The following is a 20681-nucleotide window of genomic DNA, read 5'->3' on the forward strand; positions in this document are numbered from 1 at the left end:
CTCGGCGTTCTGGAGAGAATGTGGGACCCGAGGCGGAGGGAAGAGACGGCTGACATCACTCCAGGGTAGGGACGACCGAGATGGGAGAAACTAAGGCGAGAACCCACCACCCGGGCGCAGCGAACCCAGCTCGCAGCCACGTGGGGAAGCGCGGCCCTGCCCTCAGGCCCCGCCCCACTCACGCGTCAGGCCCCGCCCACCCCACCGCCCCCCGCTCCCGCGTCCAGGCTCCGCCCCGTCCCCGCGCAGCGCAGGCGCAGATGCGCCCTCCCGCCTGGCGTCCTCCGCAGATTCGCGCTGAGAGGCCCGCGGAGACCCGCCCCAGAGGCTCAAGAAAACCCGCGGGAGCCTCGCCCGGACCCAGGAACTCGTGCTCGGGGCCAACCGGCTGGGCCGCGATCGCGTTTCGTCCGGGGCCGCGGCGGCCGTGGGGAATCGGCTGCAGCGAATCGGTGGCGCGCGGCGCCTGAGCGCGCTGCAGTCACCCGGGAGCCGGGTCCAGGTCGGGTTGGGGGTCGGGGATCGGGGATCGGGGGTCCGGTTGGGTCGGGTTGGGCTCCAGGTCTGGTTGGGTCGGGTCCAGGTCGGGTAGGAGTCCGGTCGGGGTCCGGGTACAGGTCGGGGTCCGGGCCTGGATCGGGGGCGGGTCCGCGTGCGGCTCCTCTAGCCCCGAACCCGTGTTCCCCGTAAGCTGTTGGTTTCTAAGGGGCGGAGGAATGGCGACTGGAGCCACCTCTCACCGCTCAGGGAGCCGGGAGGGCCGGCAGCTCCCGCGGGCCGAGTTTCCCGCCTTGGGTGCGAGGACGCGTGGGGCCGCGCTGTGCCCGGGGAACACTCACCAGCATCTCTAGCCTCCACCTCCCTCTCGCGCCAGTGGCACTCCCGGTTGAGACAACTGAGAATGTTCCCTGGGCACAGTGGCCCGGGTTGAGAAGCCCTGCAGTGGCTGGTAGCGTTGGGGTCCGAGCGGAGGAGCGAACTCTGGGTGGAAACCGGCAGGCACTGGAGGGGAAGGAGGCGGGACAGGGTTGGGTGGGACCAGGGTTGAGGGGTGTGGGGTCTCGGGGCGCTCACCGAGGGGCTTCCTGAGCTTGTGTGGATTATTTCCGTGCCCCAAGCTGAGCCCTGTGTCCATGTCACAGGTCGTCTTCCCGTGACGCCCAGATCTGTCCTGCAGGATGGAGCCAGCACCCTCAGAGGTTCGACTCGCCGTCCGGGAAGCCATTCATGCCCTCTCGTCTTCGGAGGATGGCGGCCACATCTTCTGCACCCTGGAGTCCCTGAAGCGGTATCTCGGTGAGATGGAGCCTCCAGCGCTCCCGAGGGAGAAGGAGGAGTTTGCCTCGGCCCACTTCTCGCCTGTCCTCAGATGTCTTGCCAGCAGGCTGAGCCCAGCCTGGCTGGAGCTGCTGCCCCATGGCCGCCTGGAGGAGCTGTGGGCCAGCTTCTTCCTGGAGGGCCCGGCGGACCAAGCCTTCCTGGTGTTGATGGAGACCATCGAGGGTGCTGCGGGGTGAGTGGGCTGGGCCCATCCTGGGGTTGCCGGTAGCCTCAGAAGTGATGAGAGTGGCTTGAAGGACTGGACCAAGAGCCTCTCTAGTCCCTGTGAGGGGCTAGAGAGAGAGCCTGCTCCTGGCTGAACCCCTGAACAGAAGAAGCGGTCTGTGTCTGTCTCCTTTGCGACGGGAGGCACCTGCTGTGTCTCACAAAGTCCCCCACTTGCTCCCCGTCCGGCTGTGTCAGAGAGGGATGGGGTGGGAGTGTTCACATCCCAGGCGGCAGAGGCAGCCCGTCAGCTGGGGACGTTCCAGGTTTTCCAGGGAAGCACAGCTGTCATCACTGACACGTGTCCCATGTGGACTCCCAGCCCCAGCCGGCTCCCAGGCTCAGCCTCAGATCACACTGCAGTCCTTGCCGGGACACTGCATCTTGAGAAGCTGGGTTTTCAGAGGTTGCTGTGATCAAAGCAAGCACTGAGTTATCCGCGTCAGCAGCAGGGGAGGGGTGTCCAGTGAGACTCCAGGTTGGGGAAGCCGCTCAGGGCCCCGAGAGCTCTCACACAGTAATCGCAGTTATTTAGGAATGGATTAACAGATTTTCCCATCCGGCTTGTGGTTTTGGACTTCACGCTGGTTATGTTGTTGGGGCTGCCCGTGTAATCCGGGCTGCTGGTTCCTTGTGGCAGGAAGGGGGCCCCGAGGATGGGGGTTGGCGGCTCTGCCCAACACGCCCGTATCTTCAGCCCCAGCTTCCGGCTGATGAAGATGGCGCGGCTGCTGGCCAGATTCCTGCGCGAGGGCCGGCTGGCAGTGCTGATGGAGGCGCAGTGTCGGCAGCAGACGCAGCCCGGCTTCATCCTGCTCCGGGAGACGCTGCTGGGCAAGGTGGTGGCCCTGCCCGATCACCTGGGCAACCGCCTGCAGCAGGAGAACTTGGCCGAGTTCTTCCCCCAGAACTACTTCCGCCTGCTCGGCGAGGAGGTCGTCCGGGTGCTGCAGGCGGTTGTGGACTCTCTCCAAGGTGAGGCCCTGCCTCGGGGACCCCCTTTGCCACCCGTCTTCTTGGGTCCTCGTCCCCTGCCACCCTCTGGTGCCTCACGGCCTCTGGAGACTTTGGAGTCTCTGGTTGATGCCGTCAGGCAGGTGGGGATGTCCCTGTCCCGCACAGTAGTGACCGGCAGGGCTCATCCGCTGTGGGCTGAAGTCCGCTGCCCTCCACGCGGGCTTCTCTTGTCCCTGCAGTCCCTTGGGTTTCCAGGGCCCAACTGTGCTGTGGTGGCCAGGTGGGGGATCTCGAGGTTCTCAGGTCTGGAGGCAGACGCTGGCGGTGCCCTGGAGAGGGGGTGCTGTGGGAACGGCCTTGCCCGCTGCTGGGCTGCAGGGCCCCGTGAGCGCCCATGCTCGCTCTGTTTTCCCTGGGGCGCCAGATGGCGGCTGCCGCGAGTGTGCGTTTCACTAGCGAGAAGGAGGCTGGGCCGGGGGCCTGCACAGCACCCGGAGCGTCTGCCTCTCCCTGCAGGGTGACCCCTTCCTTCTCTTGCCTTTCCCGAGCTCCAGGCGACAGCTCAGACGCAGGTCGAGCACCTGGGTCCGGACTCCACCCTCCACATGCTGCCCCGACCTCGTTCTGAAACTCCCTCCCTCGCTCAGGGGCACCCTGGGGTCCTGGAGCAGCTCGGCGCCCCCTCAGAGCCCAGGAGGAAGCCGGGCCCCTCGAGTCCCTGCGTGGGGCCTGTGTGGCCCAAGCCCCCTCGCCTCACCTGGGGGTTCCTGCAGCAACCTCCTGAGCCCCTCCTGTCTTTTCCGAACGTAGCCCTAGGCTTGCAGCTGCTGCTGTGCATGGGCCCATGTATTAAGGAGGCTTTGGGAACATCTCGGACACATGTGGAATGCGGCTTTTTCACGTGTTCGGGGTTGGCTGGGGCCGTCCTGGTCCCCACGCGGCTCTGTGCTTTCCGCTGCCCCGCGTCCCAGCTCTTCTGTGGGGCTGGTACAGCCCGGCCCCTCCCGGTTCCCCACGTTCCCTGGAGTGCGCTCCTTCCCTGTGGGCGGCCGTGGTGGTGGTGCTGCTCCAGGGTCTCATGCCCGGCTCAGGGCCCAGGCCTACCCTGCGTGGCTGACCCAACTTGGCCGGGCCCTATCGATGCTTTCTCTCCTTCCTCGGCAACATCATACCGGTCCCGACCTCCTACACCATCGTGACGATTAAGTGGGCTAAGATGGGTGAAGGTTTGAAAGGATTGTGATTTGCTTGTCAGGTTCCACGCACTCCTGTTCAGATTTGCTGGGTAGGCTGATGGGCACCAGCCGTTGTTTTGAGTGAGTTTTGCTGTCGGTTGGAGTCCGCCTGACCGAGAGCAGCTCTCCCCACACCTAGATGTTCTTTTGTGCCTTCCCGCCGGCTTCCTCATCAGGCCTCCCTTTCTGTCCCAGGTGGCCTGGATTCCTCCGTGTCCTTCGTGTCTCAGGTCCTTGGGAAAGCCTGTGTCCACGGGAGGCAGCGTGAGTAGAGCAGTGCCTTCCTGCCCATCCTGCCCCGACCCTCACAGCCCATCAGCCTTCTGCAGAAGGCCGAGAATCCCTCCTGACCCTGGCCCTCTGCAGGGTCCCCTTGCCCGGTCCTGTCCTGGGCCCGTGGGATCTGGGGCTCAGCTGTGCTTACTGGGGAGCTGTGGGACTGTCCTTGCTGGACCCACACAGCCCCAGACACCAGGTGGGTGCAGCTCCCCAGGCTCAGGTCCTCCGTCTGTCCCCTCAGAGGAGATCCTGGGCGTGCTGGTACCCCGGCTGGCAGCGCTCACCCAGGGCAGCTACCTGCACCAGCGCGTCTGCTGGCGCCTGGTGGAGCAAGTGCCGGACCGGGCCATGGAGGCTGTGCTGACCGGGCTGGTGGAGGCCGCACTGGGGTAAGCAGCCAGGCTGTCCTCCAGCTGCACTGGCTTCTGGGGTCTGGACCCCCAGAGGCTGCCATTCCTTCACGCTACTTCTCCTGGGCGCCGTGCTGCAGCTGGCACCCCCATGTAGGTGCCACAGGGTGTGGGTGGTGCCCTCTCAGTTCCCGCACGTGCTGATGGTGACCTCTGTATCAGAGGGTCCCTTTCTCTTATGAAATAGCATCGATGCTGTGAACAGCCCACACCGTAAAGGCGCCTGTACCTTGGGCCGTCCACCCGTCCTGCGCCTGTGGTCCCCCTCGCACACGTGTGCACCATGTCCAGGCTCTGACATGGTGATGGGCGGTGACTCACTTCCCCACGTCTTTGTGCAGGAGAATCAAGGTTGCATTTCTGGAAGCAGGACTGCCGGCCATTTACCCCCACAAACCCTGCCAGCTCACCTGCCTCAGATGTCTCCCCTCCCTTCAACGTGTGCAAGGACATACCTGTCTCTGCCCAAAGTATTTCCTCCTCTTTTTTTTTTTTTTTTCTTTTTGAGATGGAGTCTTGCTCTGTCACCCAGGCTGGACTGCAACGGTGCAATCGGCTCACTGCAACCTCCGTCTCCTGGGTTCAAGTGATTCTCCTGCCTCAGCCTCCTGAGTAGCTAGGACTACAGGCGCCCGCCACCACACCCGGCTAATTTTTGTATTTTTAGTATAGACGGGGTTTTGCCATGTTGGCCAGGCTGGTGTTGAACTCCTGGCCTCAAGCAATCCACCCACCTCGGCTTCCCAAAGTGTTGGGATTATAGGCGTGAGCCCCTGCACCCGGCTGACTTTGCATTCTTGATTCTGGGTGAGGGTGTGTGTGTGTTTAAGGCATTTGTATTCTTTTCTCTGTGAACTATATAATCATGTAATCACATTCTATTTTATAGTTTGTTTTGGTGTTGTTGTTGGGGGGGATTGTTTTTAGAGACAGGATCTTGCTCTGTCTCCCAGGCTGCAGTGCAGTGGTGTGATTATAGCTCACTGCAGCCTCGACCTCCTGGGCTCCAGCGATCTTCCCACCTCAGCCTCCTGAGTAGCGGGAACACAGGTGCGCGCTATCATACCCAGCTAATTTTTAAATTTTTTGTAGCGACGGGGCTCACTTTGTTGCCCGGCTGGTCTCAAACTCCTGGCCTTAAGTGATCCTCCTGCCTTGGCCTCCCAAATGTTTTTTTAACCGTTATTTCTTTGTGTGGAATTTTAAGTGATAAGTGAGGGAGAAATCCAGCCATATCTGTTTCCACACTGGCTGGATAGACTTGTGGGGCTCTTTCTGGAGACCCATAACCTCTCACCGGGAGGACTCTTTCAGTCTGGACCAGGGGCCTACAGGCTACTTGGACAAAATTTGGCCCGCTGCATGTTTTTGTAAATAAAATTTTTTTGGCACTGTCAAAGGAGGCCTTCGAGGGTGGACCCGCCTCCGCCCGGGCTGAGGTGCAGGGAAGGAGGCTGTCGGGGGTGGACCCGCCTCCGCCCGGGCTGCGGTGCACGCGCTCTCTGGGTTGTGGCATTTATGCCCCAGAGAAGGGAGGATGAAGGCCCAGCTCAGGCAGTCGGAGGATGGAACCAGAGGCTCGTGGCTAGGAATTGGCAGGCCGGGAGTCAGGCCGCCGTCTGTGGGCATCGGAGTTCACGCTCTCGCTCCTCCCTGTCTCCAGGCCGGCTTGCAGCTCTGGCCCCTGACTCTGTCTTGCAGGCCTGAGGTCCTTTCGAGACTGCTGGGGAACCTGGTGGTGAAGAACAAGAAGGCCCAGTTTGTGATGACCCAGAAGCTTCTGTTCTTACAGTCCCGGCTCACGGTGAGGACGCCACGGAGGGTGCAGGCTGCTGGCTGCCCCATCACAGCAAGAATGGCTGCAAAACATGGGGTCGGAGCGGTGTCTGCTGCCTGGGAGACCCTGCCTGTGATTTGGCAGTGGCTGGCAGGAGTTGGCGAGGCGGTGGGTGCCTCCCTGCCCTGATGACAGGCCCTGCTGTGACGGCTCTGAGTGAGGGCTTCTCATGTGTCAATCTTCTAGACTCCCGAGAAGCCACCCGCCCTAGCTGCGTTCTGTGCCAGGGGCCTGAGGGGGTGGGGTGGGGTGGGTGGGGGATAGGTGAGGACACAGAGGAGGTCGTGCATTTCCGGGACTTATGACTCCCGTCCCCATGGCCTGGAGCCCGGAGGGGGTGAGCCAGGTCCCCTGAGCCCAGAGTGGGTGAGCCGGGTCCCCTGACTCCCGGCCACATCTTGCTTCACCCTCCTCCTTTGCTCACACGAGAACTTAAGATGGCGAGGCCCTGCCCCAGCACGGCAGCAGCTGCATCCTACGTTTTTATATGGAACCGTTTTATCACGTTCAGTTCAAAGGAATAGAGGCGGGTGGGTCGCTTGAGCCCAGGGGGCAGCTTCTGCGGGAGGGGAGGGGTCCCGCATTCCAGGAGGCAGTGGCCGCCCCCATGCTTGTCCGTCTGCTGCCCTCAGTCTGGTCCCAGTCCTGGCATGGCTCTTGGCCTTGGGAGCCCCGGGCTGGCCAGGCGGCGGCCTCAGCCCAGTGGACAGGCATGTGCTTTTATTGCAGACGCCCATGCTGCAGAGCCTGCTGGGCCATCTGGCCATGGACAGCCAGCGGCGCCCGCTCCTGCTGCAGGTACGTGCCTCCTGGCTCTCCGTCCCTGCGAGGCCCTGGGAGAAGAGCCGTGCGGGGCTCACCTTTTGGGCGGCAGGGTGAGGCTGGCTGGGCTGGGGCGGAGCTCCCTCAGAGTGGCTGTGGGCCTGGCGGGGACAGACTGGCCCCGAGCCCCACACAGTCGTGGGCCATGCCACCTGCAGGTGCTGAAGGAGCTGTTGGAGACGTGGGGCAGCAGCAGTGCCATCCGCCACACTCCCCTGCCGCAGCAGCGCCACGTCAGCAAGGCTGTCCTCATCTGCCTGGCGCAACTCGGGGAGCCGGAACTGCGGGACAGCCGGGATGGTGAGCGGGTGGTTTGGGCTCCCCCCGGCCTCGGGCGCCCCGAGGTGCTCAGGGGGCCTGTCCGGTGCTTGCAGAACTGCTGGCCAGCATGATGGCGGGCGTGAAGTGCCGCCTGGACAGTAGCCTGCCCCCCGTGCGACGCCTGGGCATGATCGTGGCAGAGGTCGTTAGTGCCCGGATCCACCCCGAGGGGCCTCCCCTGAAATTCCAGGTGAGCGGGCCGTCCCCTCCGCGTCCCCGTGTGGCTGGCCCGGGTCTCCCGAGCGGCTGCCTCTCCAGCCCCAGGGTCACCGCCTCTTCCCGGGGTCCAGACTTGCGGAGCGTCCGTGTGGACTTCTCGCAGGGCTGAGGCTGGAAGCTGTGGCAGGTTCTCAGCCCTGAGCTCCTGGGGCCACACAGGGTCGGGTGAGCACAGGGCCCCCAGAAGGATTGCCTGGACACGTTCACAGACTCTCTCTAGACGGGGGCCCGAGGGAGGCTGGGGTTAAGGGGGCCACCCCCTGCAGTTTGTCCGGCCGGGGCTGCAGGGCAGCCAGGTCGCTCTGGGTCGGTGGCCGTGGGTGTCAGCCTCTCTGCTGCCGGCTGCCTGGCCATGGAGGAGCCCTGTCTGCCTTCAGGCTGTGGAGGTGACGGCCTGTCCTCTTATCTGCTGAGAACCTGGGATCTCTCTGGGGCATTGGCCTTGGGGGAGGCCCAGCTCCTTCGAGAGGGGCCACGGCCCCTCAGCTTTGAGCACTCCCAGTGCTACCCTTGGCCTGAGGTGGAATCTTAGAAAGTCGCTTTTAAAAAGACACCTGGCTATCCAGGGCCCAGCCACTGAGTGAGACCGGGCTGCGAGGGAGGCCACAGTGGGGAGTGGCTCCCGTGGCTCCGTCTCGGGGAGGGGCGCTGCAGCCTGGCGGATGCCGCTGAGCCTGCTCCCCTGCTGTAGTACGAAGAGGATGAACTGAGCCTCGAGCTGCTGGCCTTGGCCTCCCCCCAGCCTGCGGGTGACGGCGCCTCGGAGGCGGGGTGAGGGTCTCTGCCCCCCGGGACCCCACCGCGTGCACATCTTACTGCTCTGGATTCCGCTGCCGGGATGGGAGGGGGGAAACCCTTTCTTTCTGTCCTGTGAGTCCTGAGACCAGAGGCTCGAGGGGCCCCTAAAGGATTTTTGTTCCTTGTTTCCTTAAAGCACGTCCCTCGTTCCAGCCACGGCAGAGCCCCCTGCAGAGACCCCCGCAGAGATCGTGGATGGCGGCGTCCCCCAAGCACAGCTGGCGGGCTCTGACTCGGACCTGGACAGGTAGGGGCTCTGCCACCCCAGTGGGCAGCGTGCAGGAGGCCGGGAGGCGAACCCCTCACACTCCAAGCTGCGGCCCCGTGGGGGGCTCCCTGCCTGCTCCGTGCTTCTTCTCTTTCGTCCTCATGTGAGGGCCCGCAGCTCCCAGCTCCACCGTAGGCGCAGGGGCCGAGGCGTGAGCTCCGCATCTTGGGGAGGAGAGAGGGGCTGGCTCTGCCGTTGGGCACTTCCTGTCACAGGCCATGGGCTGCTCATGTCTGCTTTGCTCTCCCACAGCGATGATGAGTTTGTCCCCTACGACATGTCGGGGGACAGAGAGCTGAAGAGCAGCAAGGCTCCTGCCTACGTCCGGGACTGCGTGGAAGGTGGGCACGGGCCCCTGGAGGGCCTTGCTGGGCTGGGCATGGGTCCCGCTCACAGCCTGGTTCTGCCTCAAGGGGCCACCGGGAAGCCCTGGGCCCGGGGTGCCGCCCGTGCTGCTGGCTCTCATGGGTTCAGGGTCAGGGCTGAGGCTGACCGAGGCCTCTCTGGGTTCTGTGCAGCCCTGACCACGTCTGAGGACATAGAGCGCTGGGAGGCAGCCCTGCGGGCCCTTGAGGGCCTGGTCTACAGGAGCCCCACAGCCACTCGGGAGGTGAGTGGGGGGCGGGAGTGGGTGGGGAGGCCCAAGATGGTAGCTCCCTCAATGCCATCTGTGTCCTGGCCACTGAGGGTGACATATGGCTCCCGTGTGTGACAGGGCTGCTGCCTCTCCCGGGGGGCCTGCGGCCTGGGGCCTCTGCTGGGGTGGGTGGCTCCGGCCCTGTGAGCCTCGGTGAGGCCTCGGCGGGCAGCTGGGTCCGACAGGTTTCCCAGCCCTAACCCCTGCGTGCAGGTGAGCGTGGAGCTGGCCAAGGTGCTTCTGCATCTGGAGGAGAAGACCTGTGTGGTGGGATTTGCAGGGCTGCGCCAGAGAGCCCTGGTGGCCGTCACGGTCACAGACCCGGCCCCGGTGAGTTCCCGCACCCGTGGCCCTGGCCAGTGCAGGCACAGCGGGAAGCACTGGGAGCTGCGGTGCCTGAGTCTCGGTCCTGTGCTGGAGCTGGCTGTGAGGTGCCCGGAGGTCGCCCCGGGTGGCCCTCAGGTCCCGGACCACAGCAGCCTCTCCCCTGTGTCCTCAGGTGGCCGACTATCTGACCTCACAGTTCTATGCCCTCAACTACAGCCTCCGGCAGCGCATGGACATCCTGGATGTAAGTGCCTCCTGGGCCTCAGTCCCCCTGGTCTGGCCCAAGCTGCCCTAAGGTGGGGCTGCCAAAACCTGGGTCTCCTTGTTGCTGGGCCCCAAGGGCTCGTGCAGGCCTGTCCACTGCCTTCGTGAGTGTGTGACCCGGCAGGACTCAGCAGTGGGGGAGTCAGGGCTCCCGGGGCAGAGAGTTTTGTTTGTTTAAAATAACAGCTTTACTGATATAATTCACACGCCATAAAATTCACCGCTTTAGGGTAAAATGTGTGCTGCGCAGGTGAGGGAATATTATTTAGCAATGAAAAAGAAAAATTTGAATCCCAGCACTGGAAGGCTGAGGCGGGAGGATCGCTGGAGCCCAGGAGTTCGAGACCCGCTTGGGCACCACAATGAGACTCCATCTTTATTAGCCAAGTGTGGTGGTGGGCGACTGTGGTCCCAGTTACTCGGGAGGCTGGGGTGGGAGGATCCCTCGAACCCAGGAGGTGGAGGCCGCAGTGGAGCTGTTTGCACCACCGCACTCCCGTGTGGGTGAGAGAGGGAGACACTGTCTCAAAGATAATTCGACTCTGATACGCACTGCCACACGATGAGCCTTGAGAACATTTAGTTAAAGCAGCCCCAGGGCCTGTATATCGTTCGATTTCACTTAAGCGAGCCGTCCGGAGGAGCTAGTTCACGGAGAGCGGACGGGGCTGCCGGGGCTTGGGGAGGGGATGTGGAGTGAGGGTTTCACGGGGACAGTTTCAGCTTGGGAAGGCAAAAGAGTTCTGGCGAGGGCGGAGGTGATGGTTGCCCATCATGAACGTACTTATTAATGCCACGGAACTGTACACTTAAAGATGGGGAAAACGGGCTGGGCGCGGCGGCTCATGCCTGTCATCCCAGTGCTGTGGGAGACCAAAGTGGGAGGATTGCTCAAGCCCAGGAGTTTGAGATCAACCTGGTCAACATAGCAAGACCCTGTCATCTCCACCAGAAGAAAATTAGCTGGGAGTGGGGCGCCTGTGGTCCCTGCTACTCTTGAGGCTGAGGCAGGAGGATGGCTTGAGCCCAGAGGTTGAGGCTGTCGTGAGCCGTGATGGCACCACTGCCCTGCAGCCTGGGCAATAGAGCAAGACTCTGTCTCTTTAAAAAAAAAAAAAAAAAAAAAAAGCAGCCGGCCACGGCGGCTCACACCTGTAATCCCAGCACTTTGGGAGGCTAAGCCGGGCGGATCATGAGGTCAGGAGTTCAAGACCAGCCTCGCCAACATGGTGAAACCCTGTTTCTACTAAAAACACAAAAAATTAGCTGGGCATGGTGGTGCATGCCTGTAGTCCCAGTTACGTGGGAGGCTGAGGCAGGAGAATTGCTTGGACCTGGGAGGCGGAGGTTGTGGTGAGTCAAGATGGCGCCACTGCACTCCAGACTGGGCGACAGAGCGAGACTCCATCTCAAAAAAAAAAAAAAAAAAAAAAGGGAGGGGAGGGGTTAACGTGGTAAATCTTGTATATATTTTACCACAATAAAGCAAAAAAGACTGAGAACATGAGAACAACTCACCGTAACTGGTCTTTTTTTTTTTTTTTTTTTTTTTTGAGACAGAGTCTCGCTCTGTCGCCCAGGCTGGAGTGCAGTGGCGCGATCTTGACTCACTGCAAGCTCCCCCTCCCGGGTTCACGCCATTCTCCTGCCTCAGCCTCCCGAGTAGCTGGGACTACAGGCGCCCGCCACCACGCCCGGCTAATTTTGTGTATTTTTAGTAGAGACGGGGTTTCACTGTGTTAGCCAGGATGGTCTCAATCTCCTGACCTCGTGATCCGCCCGCCTCAGCCGTAACTGGTTCTAAGGTGCACACTTGGGTGGCGTTCGGAACATCCACAGTGTCACGCAGCCGCCTCTGTCTAGTCCCAGAGCGTCCTTATCACCCCAGAGGGAAACCCCATCCCTGTCAGCAGTCGCCCCGACCCTCCCAGCCTGGGAGCCTCCGGTCTGGCGCTGGCCTGTTGAGAAGGTGTCCTAGAGATGGAGGCGCACATGGGTCCTTGGTGCCTTCTCTGCAATGTTCTGAGGTCCCCCCGCCCGTGGCACGTGCCGCTGCAGCGTTGCTTTTGCTGTGAGGCCGACTTCCTGGGATAAGGGCATGTGGCTCTGGCGTGGCGGGACTGCGTGGCTTTAGGATGAGGCTGCGCTCGGCCCTGGGCGTGTTCTCATCTCCTGGAGCACGGTGCCCACCTTCCCCACCTTCCCGCCTACCAAGGCGCGGTTGCTGTGAGCTACGGGGAAGTGACTTTTCTCCTTGTTCCCAGAACACACCTTCTCCCAGGCTGGGCGGGCCCCCGGGCCCGTTTCTGGGGCTTTGGCTGACTTGACTCTTGGGAAATGTTCTTCCCTGGAGCAGTGGCGACGGCCCTGGGCCTGTCTCCCTCCAGGTGCTGACTCTGGCTGCCCAGGAGCTGTCTAGGCCTGGGTGCCTCGGGAGGACTCCCCAACCTGGCTCCCCAAGTCCCAACACCCCGTGCCTGCCAGAGGCAGCCGTCTCTCAGCCTGGCAGTGCCGTGGCGTCTGACTGGCGGGTGGTGGTGGAGGAGCGGATCAGAAGCAAGACCCAGCGGCTCTCCAAGGTTAGTGGCGCCTGGTCAGCTCCTCACGGGCATGGGGACCGTGGGTGGGTGGGAAGGGCGGTCAGACACCTCCAGGCGCTGTCTGCAGCGAGGGGCGGCCACATTCGCTGGGGATGGTGCCTTTGCCGGGATTCCTGAAAGGCAGGGTCCATGGTTTGCACCGAGGAACTGGATTTTGGCTGTAGGAGACCCAGACTGGGCTTGGGGACATGATAAGTGACAGGTGTCCTGGTGGTGCTCTGTCCTCAGAGCCCATCTAGGCCAGGGGTGGTGTTGCTCCACCTGAGGATGTTTAGGGGCGTCTGGAGATGTTTTTGGTTGTCACTAGGGGTGGGTTGGAGGCCACGGAGGCATCCTGCAGTGCCCAGGGCGGCCTCCCCAGGACGCTCCTCCAGCCTTGAATGTCCTGCCTGCAAGTTCGGGAACGCCTGGTCTGCTGTCCAGGCATTGGCCGCGGAGCCTGAGTCCCGTCACCAACCCCATGGGGCCTGGGAGCTGGGCGGGGCCGGAAGAGTAGCCCGGGGAGGCAAGGCGAGGCTGAGGTCCACGCTGCTTTGTGGGATCCTCTCGGGCTAGGGGTGCCGTGCCCGCTGCCCAAGCCTGCACCTCCGTGATCGCTGTAGTTGTGTCTGGCAGGGTGGCCCGAGGCAGGGCCCGGCAGGCAGCCCCAGCAGATTCAACTCCGTGGCCGGCCACTTCTTCTTCCCCCTCCTTCAGCGCTTTGACAGGTGAGTGGGTTTTCCGTGGGCCTGTGGACTTGGGGGACAGGGACCCTGGACGTACCACTGTGGCCAAGAAGTTCGGGCTGGGATCTGAGTGGGTTTGGGTGTGAACAGGGTCGTGCTTTGCTGTGGCTTTTTGTAAGCCTGTGTTAAATGGCAGGGAGCGTCCCGCAAGATTCCTCTGTGGTTGAGCTTTGCCATGAGGCACCAGGCATCTGCTCCGATGCTGGGCTTGTGGCATGGCCGGCAGTGCCGCCCGCACGTGCCCGACGCCATCACCTGCTGGGCCCTGCTCGCCTCCTCCTGCCTCAGCCGGCGCTGCACTGGCCCCACGTTCAGGGCGTGAGGCTCTCGAGATGGCAGAGAAGTGTGGGGCCTGGGTTGTGCTGCAGCAGGGGTGGGGGTCTCGGCGTTGGGAACTCCTGGCCCAGGTGGACTTGTGCCAGACAGCCCTGCAGGGGGAGTAGGCACCCGGAAATGTCTGCTCCTACGATCTCGGTGCAGGCAAGGCGGTGGGCACGGGAGGAGGGGCTGTGTGGGGCTCCCTCGGTCTCCCACGGTGGCCCAGGAGGTTGGGGACCTGGCCCTGAGGCACCCGCTGCACCTTGGGCTCCATCCTGTGCTCTAGGCCTCTGGTGACCTTCGACCTCTTGGGAGAAGACCAGCTGGTTCTCGGAAGGCTGGCGCACACCTTAGGGGCCCTGATGTGCCTGGCTGTTAACACCACGGTGAGCCGGGAGAGGTCGCCGGGCGCCGGCCTGTGCTAACCATGGATCAGGAGCGCTCCTCAGCCTCACCTGCGCCCAGGGATGGGTGTCTGAGGGAGGGGCTGCCTGTGTGGGCCCCCGGGCAGCGGGAGCATCCCCTCGGCTGTCAGGCAGGCCCTGTCCCTGCTGCTGCCCAGCAGCGGAAGCCGCCCATGGGTGCTGGGATGTGGGGACGGCGTCGGGACCCCACTGACTGTCCCTCTGCTGGTGTCCAGGTGGCTGTGGCCATGGGCAAGGCCCTGCTGGAATTCGTGTGGGCCCTTCGCTTCCACATCGATGCGTGAGTGGCCTGTGGGGCTGGGCCAGGCCAGGGGTGCAGGCAGACACAGGGGTCTTATTGTGGGGGCCCCGTGGAGCCTCGAGGTGGCTGACAGGCAGCCTGGCCTGGTACTTCCCAAATAGGAAGTGTGCCAGGCAGGGCCGCAGCGTGGGTGGTCTGCCACACTGAGGGGAGTGGGAGGTCTGGGGTGTGGTCCCTGCCGAGCTCAGCCCCCGCCTTCTTGCCGGCAGCTACGTGCGCCAGGGGCTGTTGTCGGCCGTCTCCTCCGTCCTGCTCAGCCTGCCTGCTGCGCGCCTGCTGGAGGACCTGATGGACGAGCTGCTGGAAGCCCGGTCCTGGCTGGCGGGTGAGTGTCGGCCTGCGGTGTGTGTGTGAGATGTGTGTCGGCCCGGGGTGTGTGTGTATGTGTGTGTGTGTGTGTGAGAGATGTGTCGGCCCGGGGTGTGTGTGTGTGTGTGTGTGATGTGTGTTGGCCCGGGGTGTGTGTGTGTGTGTGTGTGTGTGTGTGTGTGTGTGTGTGTGTGATGTGTGTCGGCCCGGGGTGTGTGTGTGTGTGTGGGTGTGTGTGTTGCAGCTCCTGCAGGCCAGGCTGCCATGACTCCTTGGGACCCACACAGGCAGAGTGTGCAGGCCGGAGGTGCAGCCACCCCAGCACTGGCCGTTTCCCTCCTTTGGTCCTGATCCTAGACCCTGTTGGGGTCCCTCTGTGACCCCGCCCACCCGCCTCCCTGGGCCCCTCCGGCCGGTGCAGTCCTGGCAACTTTTTGTTTGTTTGTTTTTTAGACAGAGTCTTGCTCTGTCGCCCAGGCTGGAGTGCCGTGGCACAATCTTGGCTCACTGCGACCTCCGCCTCCTGGGTTCAAGCAATTCTCCCGCCTCAGCCTCCTGAGTAGCTGGGATTACAGGTGCCCACCACTGCGCCCAGCCAATTTTTGTATTTTTAGTAGAGATGGGATTTCACCATGTTGGTCAGGATGGTCTCAATCTCCTGACCTCGTGATCCACCCGCCTCAGCCTCCCAAAGTGCTGGGATTACAGGCGTGAGCCACCGCGCCCGGCCAGTCCCAGCACCTTTTGTTGTTTGCTGGCCTTTGTGGTCCAGTGGTTGGTTTGTGGGGCCCTTAAGGTGGCTTCATGGATACCGCCTCGGTTTCCACGTTTGTCAGGAGGGTCCCGGGTGATACGGGTCCTTCCCAGGGACTTGTGCTCAGACCTCTGTGCTGGGGGGCGCTGGGGGATGCTTTTGGTGAGGTCACCTTTCCTTTCCCGTGGGGCTGGGCTGTGTGCCTCTTCTGCCCCAGCCATCTCCCCTCTCCCCACCTGGGCGCAGTGCCAGCCTGCTGGGTGTGAACGGGTGTTTCCCATGGGGAGTGGAGCCAACGAGTCCCCGGGGACGGGCTGAAGAGCAGGGCACGGTACCGATGGACACGGGAAGGGCAGGCCCAGCTCTGCCCTGTCCCTTCCCAGGACCTGTGCTCAGGGTGGCCGTGAATGTCTTCCCACGGAGCAGCTGGAGGGTCCTGGGCCCAAAGCGTGGGGAGTGCTGTGCTGGGCTTTGCTTCTTTCAAGGGGGGTGAGGCCCCCCAGACACCAGACCCTTGGAGCTGCTGCCCAACCCCTCCTCAGCATGCTGTCGCCCACTCGCCCTGCCTGGAGGAGGAGAGGTTCCCCTTTGGCCAGTGGAGCCACTGATGGGGCTGGGTGGGCGGGCACATTCCCTGCAGTTCCTGGCCCACCTCCTTCCCCAGAGACTCGGTACCTGCGACGTCATCATCTGGGGGCCTTGGGGGCCTGAAGCACCAGGAGGAGCAGGGGGGCCCTGTCCCTCAGCCGATCCCTTTCCACTCGGCTGGCGGGGTCCCGACAGGGTGTTCTCCTTTCACAGGCACCTCCCACAAGGGTCTACAGGTGCCTCCTCACCCTGCGATTCTAGCCCAATCTGGGGAGGAGCTGTGGCCAGCAGAGCCCCCCCAAGGCTCCCCGGGGCCCCAGGCTGCAGGAGGCCTTGGTGAGGGTCCCAGCACTGCGGGCAGCCAAGAGCTCTGGCAGTGTGCGGTCCCAGACACCCAAGAGGCCTCCCCACAGGCGGGTGGCACGCCCACCACCCGGATTCCTACGGTCTTCCACCTCCGACCACAGCCCTTGTCTGCCGTCCAGCAAGGAGCAGGCCCTGCTGGTGTTCCCGGGTTCCCCGGTTGTGCGCCCCACCCCAGGCCCCTTTCCCATGGCTGCCTGTCCCGCGGCTCAGGGCAGCCCTCCATGTACAGTGCTGCCTGCACAGAGCCTGTGGCATGCAGGCCCCAAGGCCGTGGGGAGAGTCCGGGGTCACTGCAGACCCGAGCCCCCTTTCTTCCATGGAGTCAGGCCTGGCGGGGCTGGTTCAGGCAGACTGAAGACAGGAGGAGGGAGAATACGCCCTCCACGCTGCCTCAGCTTTGCTTGTCACTCTCGTCTGGCAGACGTGGCTGAGAAAGACCCGGACGAGGACTGCAGGACGCTGGCACTGAGGGCCCTGCTGCTTCTGCAGAGACTCAAGAACAGGCTCCTCCCACCCGCGTCTCCCTAGTCCCTGGAGGCCTCCCCAGGACCACCCTCGCCGACAGCAAGGCAGGCGGCTGAGCAGCGGCCTGGAGCAGCAGAGCCAGGCTTTGTAGCGAGGCCAGGTCTTCGGCCGCATCCGGTACGGAGAGTGCAGATGCAGGAAGGCCCGGCCTGCCGCTATTTATAGTGCAGCCAGTCCGCTAAAAATACACTGGGCCTGGGCACTGCCCGCCGGGACATGGCAGCCTGGACGTGGGGCTGGGGCTGTGGGCGCTGCTGGCGGGGTTGACTCTTCCAGTGAGGGCAGAACCAGGCTGGCAGGAGGGGAGGACGGTGTACCTGCTGCTCAGAGCCCCCAAGGCTCTCCTCTGAGAGCCACCAAGCAGGACAGAGCAGCTCTTGTCCCAGGTCCCTCGGGCTGAGCGCCGTGTCACCAGGAGAATAGTGCTCACAGCCCAGGCAGGGTGTGTGGCTCCTGGATGGGCTCGTGGGGCGGGATGGGACAGGGCACGGGCTCTCAGAAAATAAACTGCTTTATTGGAATTACAGGAGTGTTGGTGGCCGGTGGGCAGAGCCTAGCAGGGGGTGCAGCCGCCAAGGCCCGGGTGTCCCAGCTGTTGCTCAGGAGCCGTGGGCCCTGCAGGAGTATGGGGAGGATATGATGTGTGGGGAGCAGGGGGGCAGGTGCCCCAGCCCTCCAGCTGCAGCTTCCTGAGGTTCTAGAAGTTTCTCAGGCTTTACAATGTGTAGTTGGGAGAATACGATGGAAGGGTGAACCCGACTCCCTTCAAAGGAATGAATCCAAAAATCTAGTGGAGCTGCCGGGCACCCAGAGGCAGGTGGGACAGAGCAAGGTGCAGACGGGTCACACCCTCCGCCGGCCCGGGCCGCTGCGTTCTCGCCCAGCTCTGTCGCGTATTCCAACACAGACATGTTTTTTCCCAGCAAAAATGCTGGCTTTGCCACAGCTGACAAAAAAATTCCAGAAGATGCCTTTCTGCAGCAGCACGCTGGTCCTGGGGCCCAGGCCCCTCAGGGGTCGTCATCTGCCTCTTCCACCACCTCCTCGTCCAGCTCCCTGGCGTCCTCCATGCTGTTGTGGCGGACCTGCTCGGGGACGGTGCGTGGCAGTGGGAGACCCAGCCCCCGGTGCACGGCGTCCACGGCCTGCGGGCTCACGTAGTAGGACATGTTGGCCAAGGGAAGCCGCCGCCGCATCTCCTCCAGGAATCTGTAGGCCTGGGGCAGAGGAGCAGACATTACTCAGCTTTCCTGAACAACCAGGCACGACCCTCTGCCTGCAGGCCAGGCACGTGCTGCTGCCCCTGGAGGCGGGTGGGGGTGCCTCCGCGCTGGAGGACACGGGGTGCACTGAGGCTTCCCATTGGTGATGGGGGAATGTGGTGATGAGGGGATGCGGTGCCCGCGGACCGCACACATGCCATGTGTGGACACTCAACAGGAAGCTTCGGTCAGCATTTCAGCTGGAAATGCAGAGCCAGGGCCCTGGAAAGTCCCTCAGCAGCTGTGCACAGGCCTGCTCACCGTGCGTGTGCGGGCAGAGCCTCCTGGGGAGGCAGAGGCCCCGCGTTCTGCACTCGAGTCTTGCGGGTGGACATGCATATGTCAGAGTGGAGGGCAGGCAGCGATATCTACTGGTTTGGCTTGGGTATTTTTTTTTTTTGAGATGGAGTCTCAGCTATGAAGATATAATAAGCTTGTTGGATGGCCCCTCCCATCACCTGGCAGTGGACCTGCGTTTAAGGAAGGCCTCAGCTGGGGTGGGCGCTGGTGGAGTGCAAGCCTTCCACACAGTCTCAAACGAGAGGCTGAGGGCAAACATCCACACCTGAAAAGATGCTGCCTTACATGCTGACAAACCACCTGCCATGTGCCAGGCGCTGTGCTGGGGACACAGGGGACACAGGACGTAAGGGCACAGAACAAGCTTGGGTAATGCTGTAGTGGGGAGCCAGGTCAGGCCGAGGTCCTGCAGTGGCAGAATTCAGAGAAGGGCTGGCACAGGGAGGGAGAGAGAGGAAGGAGCTGACCAGGGTCGAAGAGGGACCCTGTGGTCAGAAAGGGCCGGCGTCCTGATGCAACCAGGGCCTGGTGCGTGTGACTGCTCTGTGTGCAGAGCTAGCTTCGGAGAGGGCAATCAAGTGGTTTCCAGAAGGCAGGCAGAAGGTGCGGAGGGCGGGTGAGGGGTGGTGGGGGGCAGGACAGGCGGCATAGGTGGGTGAGGGGTGGTGGGGGGCAGGATGGGGGGCAGGACAGGCGGCATAGGTGGGTGGGGGGCAGGATGGGGGGCAGGACAGGCGGCGTAGGTGGGTGAGGGGCGGTGGAGGGCAGGACGTGGGGACAGAAATGTTGCCGGTCTCCAGCATCAGGAGGGTGTGTGCGGGCTGTGCTCAGATGATGGATGATGGCGGGAAAGCTGAGCGGATATAGGAGCTGTGGCCTGGGTGAGGTGGTGCACGTGACCCCGGGTGGCGCTACAGCAGCAGCCAGGGAGCGTGTGCCTGGGCATTCTCAGTTTAGCTGCGCTTCCCAGTTTCTTTTTTCTTTTGTATCTCGAGTTACTAAATTCCACAGGCTTCAAGCAACCATAGAGAGAATAAAGAAGTTGGCGAAATATTTAAAATGTGGATTTCCTGTTAATTTTGAGGATATAGCAGTCTGGGCATCTCTCTACTCCAATTTTGCTTTTATACGGAAAACTATAGTTCTCCTAGAAATAGAAACCCCGTTGGAGCAGGGCGCGGTGCTGCACACCAGCCACTCACGAGGATCCCTTGAACCCGGGAGGCTGAGGCTGCAGGGAGCTGTGATTGTGCCACCGCACTCCAGCCTGGGCGACAGAGCAAGACCTCGTCTCAAAACCAAACCAAGCAACAACAAAAAAGAAACCTTGTTAGGATTAGACTTGAGTTGTTTTTTCCAGCAGCAAAAGGGGTCAGTGAATGGAAGTGGAACGGCGCAGAGGGGAGTGAGCAACCGGGCCAGGAAGTCTGTGTCTCACGGAGCTGACCTTTCAGCCCTGAGGGAGAGCCACTGCCAAGGAGCTTTCCTGTGAATTCTGGAGGCTGCAGCCCAGCGAGCCCGACACGGTCGCCAGCATGTTTCCCAAGCTCATTTCTCGATACTCAGTTTGTGAGTCCCGGGAACTATCTAATAGGGCAACACAACTGGTGGGTGCAGAGGCCCTGCAGGCATCGGCATAGCTGCAGGGTCTGACGGATGCAGGCGCGTGCAATTCTCTATGTTGGCTACAACAGAATTATGGTTGAAAAAGAGGCCGGGCGCGGTGGCTCACGCCTGTAATCCCAGCACTTTGGGAGGCCGAGGTGGGCGGATCACGAGGTCAGGAGATCAAGACCATCCTGGCTAACACGGTGAAACCCCGTCTCTACTAAAAAATAAATAAATAAATACAAAAATTAGCTGGGCGTGGTGGCGGGAACCTGTAGTCCCAGCTACTTGGGAGGCTGAGGCAGGACAATTGCTTGAGCCCAGGAGGCGGAGGTTGCAGTGAGCCACGATCATGCCACTGCACTCCAGCTGGGCAACAGAGCAAGACTGTCTCAGAAAAGAAAAAAGAATGAGAAGAGAGGCTTCTGACAACAGCAGCACGACTCCTGTGAGAGCAGCCCTCCCCCTAATGACGACGGACACATGGAAAGGCACTGGGGGCAGCCGTGAGCAGGCTGATGCTGGGAGTGGGTGGCACTGGGCAGGCTTCCTGCTTCTCACAACTTTCTTTTTTTTTTTTTCTTTTTTGAGACGGAGTCTTGCTGTGTCGCCCAGGCTGGAGTGCAGTGGTGCGATCTCTGCTCACTGCAAGCTCCGCCTCCCGGGTTCACACCATTCTCC

The 20681-nt window shown here is 62.4% G+C and overlaps 2 protein-coding genes across 27 annotated transcripts in view, besides 7 other annotated features; one reads left to right on the forward strand and one right to left on the reverse strand.

The window, feature by feature from the left end:
- Window positions 62-962: an enhancer, noted in NCBI's record as "H3K27ac-H3K4me1 hESC enhancer chr16:1543166-1544066 (GRCh37/hg19 assembly coordinates)". NCBI's record gives its function as "activates a minimal SCP1, AML or CMV promoter by ChIP-STARR-seq in naive H9 embryonic stem cells {active_cell/tissue: H9 hESC(naive)}" and the evidence as "EXISTENCE:reporter gene assay evidence [ECO:0000049][PMID:30033119]".
- Window positions 175-264: a silencer, noted in NCBI's record as "silent region_6988". NCBI's record gives its function as "represses an Ori minimal core promoter by ATAC-STARR-seq in GM12878 lymphoblastoid cells {active_cell/tissue: GM12878}" and the evidence as "EXISTENCE:reporter gene assay evidence [ECO:0000049][PMID:35858748]".
- TELO2 (telomere maintenance 2) lies at window positions 257-17351 on the forward strand. 15 transcript variants are annotated; one of them, XM_011522773.4, is made up of 22 exons: window positions 257-502; window positions 1143-1513; window positions 2243-2520; window positions 3933-4001; window positions 4258-4405; window positions 6128-6230; window positions 6993-7061; window positions 7244-7385; window positions 7460-7596; window positions 8317-8396; window positions 8560-8670; window positions 8944-9032; window positions 9210-9301; window positions 9542-9658; window positions 9828-9899; window positions 12307-12498; window positions 13135-13226; window positions 13377-13562; window positions 13849-13948; window positions 14203-14267; window positions 14498-14613; window positions 16727-17351. In XM_011522773.4, the coding sequence occupies exons 2-22, from the start codon at window positions 1179-1181 to the stop codon at window positions 16831-16833; spliced, it is 2700 nt and encodes an 899-aa protein (XP_011521075.1). In that variant the 5' UTR covers window positions 257-502; window positions 1143-1178; the 3' UTR covers window positions 16834-17351. The 15 variants fall into 15 exon arrangements, with proteins under 15 accessions (XP_011521075.1, XP_011521077.1, XP_047290943.1 ...); XM_011522775.4 differs by having other exon boundaries at window positions 1178-1513; XM_011522774.3 differs by having other exon boundaries at window positions 452-949.
- Window positions 435-484: a silencer, noted in NCBI's record as "silent region_6989". NCBI's record gives its function as "represses an Ori minimal core promoter by ATAC-STARR-seq in GM12878 lymphoblastoid cells {active_cell/tissue: GM12878}" and the evidence as "EXISTENCE:reporter gene assay evidence [ECO:0000049][PMID:35858748]".
- Window positions 495-694: a silencer, noted in NCBI's record as "silent region_6990". NCBI's record gives its function as "represses an Ori minimal core promoter by ATAC-STARR-seq in GM12878 lymphoblastoid cells {active_cell/tissue: GM12878}" and the evidence as "EXISTENCE:reporter gene assay evidence [ECO:0000049][PMID:35858748]".
- Window positions 1864-2764: an enhancer, noted in NCBI's record as "H3K27ac-H3K4me1 hESC enhancer chr16:1544968-1545868 (GRCh37/hg19 assembly coordinates)". NCBI's record gives its function as "activates a minimal SCP1, AML or CMV promoter by ChIP-STARR-seq in naive and primed H9 embryonic stem cells {active_cell/tissue: H9 hESC(naive and primed)}" and the evidence as "EXISTENCE:reporter gene assay evidence [ECO:0000049][PMID:30033119]".
- Window positions 2765-3664: an enhancer, noted in NCBI's record as "H3K27ac-H3K4me1 hESC enhancer chr16:1545869-1546768 (GRCh37/hg19 assembly coordinates)". NCBI's record gives its function as "activates a minimal SCP1, AML or CMV promoter by ChIP-STARR-seq in naive and primed H9 embryonic stem cells {active_cell/tissue: H9 hESC(naive and primed)}" and the evidence as "EXISTENCE:reporter gene assay evidence [ECO:0000049][PMID:30033119]".
- Window positions 12784-12953: an enhancer, noted in NCBI's record as "experimental_42864 CRE fragment used in MPRA reporter constructs". NCBI's record gives its function as "activates a minimal promoter by MPRAs in K562 erythroleukemia cells, with activity observed for both the introgressed and non-introgressed 16:1555973 variant alleles {active_cell/tissue: K562}" and the evidence as "EXISTENCE:reporter gene assay evidence [ECO:0000049][PMID:34662402]".
- IFT140 (intraflagellar transport 140) overlaps window positions 17324-20681 on the reverse strand; it is a 101646-nt gene continuing 98288 nt past the window's right edge. For all 12 annotated transcript variants that reach the window (XM_047434970.1, NM_014714.4, XM_006720990.4 and 9 more), the window contains one exon: window positions 17324-18047. In XM_047434970.1, coding sequence (XP_047290926.1) covers window positions 17841-18047 — 207 coding nt within the window. In that variant the 3' untranslated portion in view covers window positions 17324-17840. The remainder of the gene's footprint in view (window positions 18048-20681) is intronic.

The sequence above is a fragment of the Homo sapiens genome, chromosome 16, assembly GCF_000001405.40.
Source record: "Homo sapiens chromosome 16, GRCh38.p14 Primary Assembly".
Taxonomy (NCBI): Eukaryota; Metazoa; Chordata; class Mammalia; order Primates; family Hominidae; genus Homo; species Homo sapiens.

Coding starts and splice junctions, on each gene's coding strand:
- TELO2 (XM_011522773.4), top strand. CDS start 1,179: ATGGAGCCAGCACCCTCAGAGGTTCGACTCGCCGTCCGGGAAGCCATT. Junction 1,514..2,242: donor ACCATCGAGGGTGCTGCGGG/GTGAGTGGGCTG, acceptor CCGTATCTTCAG/CCCCAGCTTCCGGCTGATGA. Junction 9,900..12,306: donor AGCGCATGGACATCCTGGAT/GTAAGTGCCTCC, acceptor GTCTCCCTCCAG/GTGCTGACTCTGGCTGCCCA.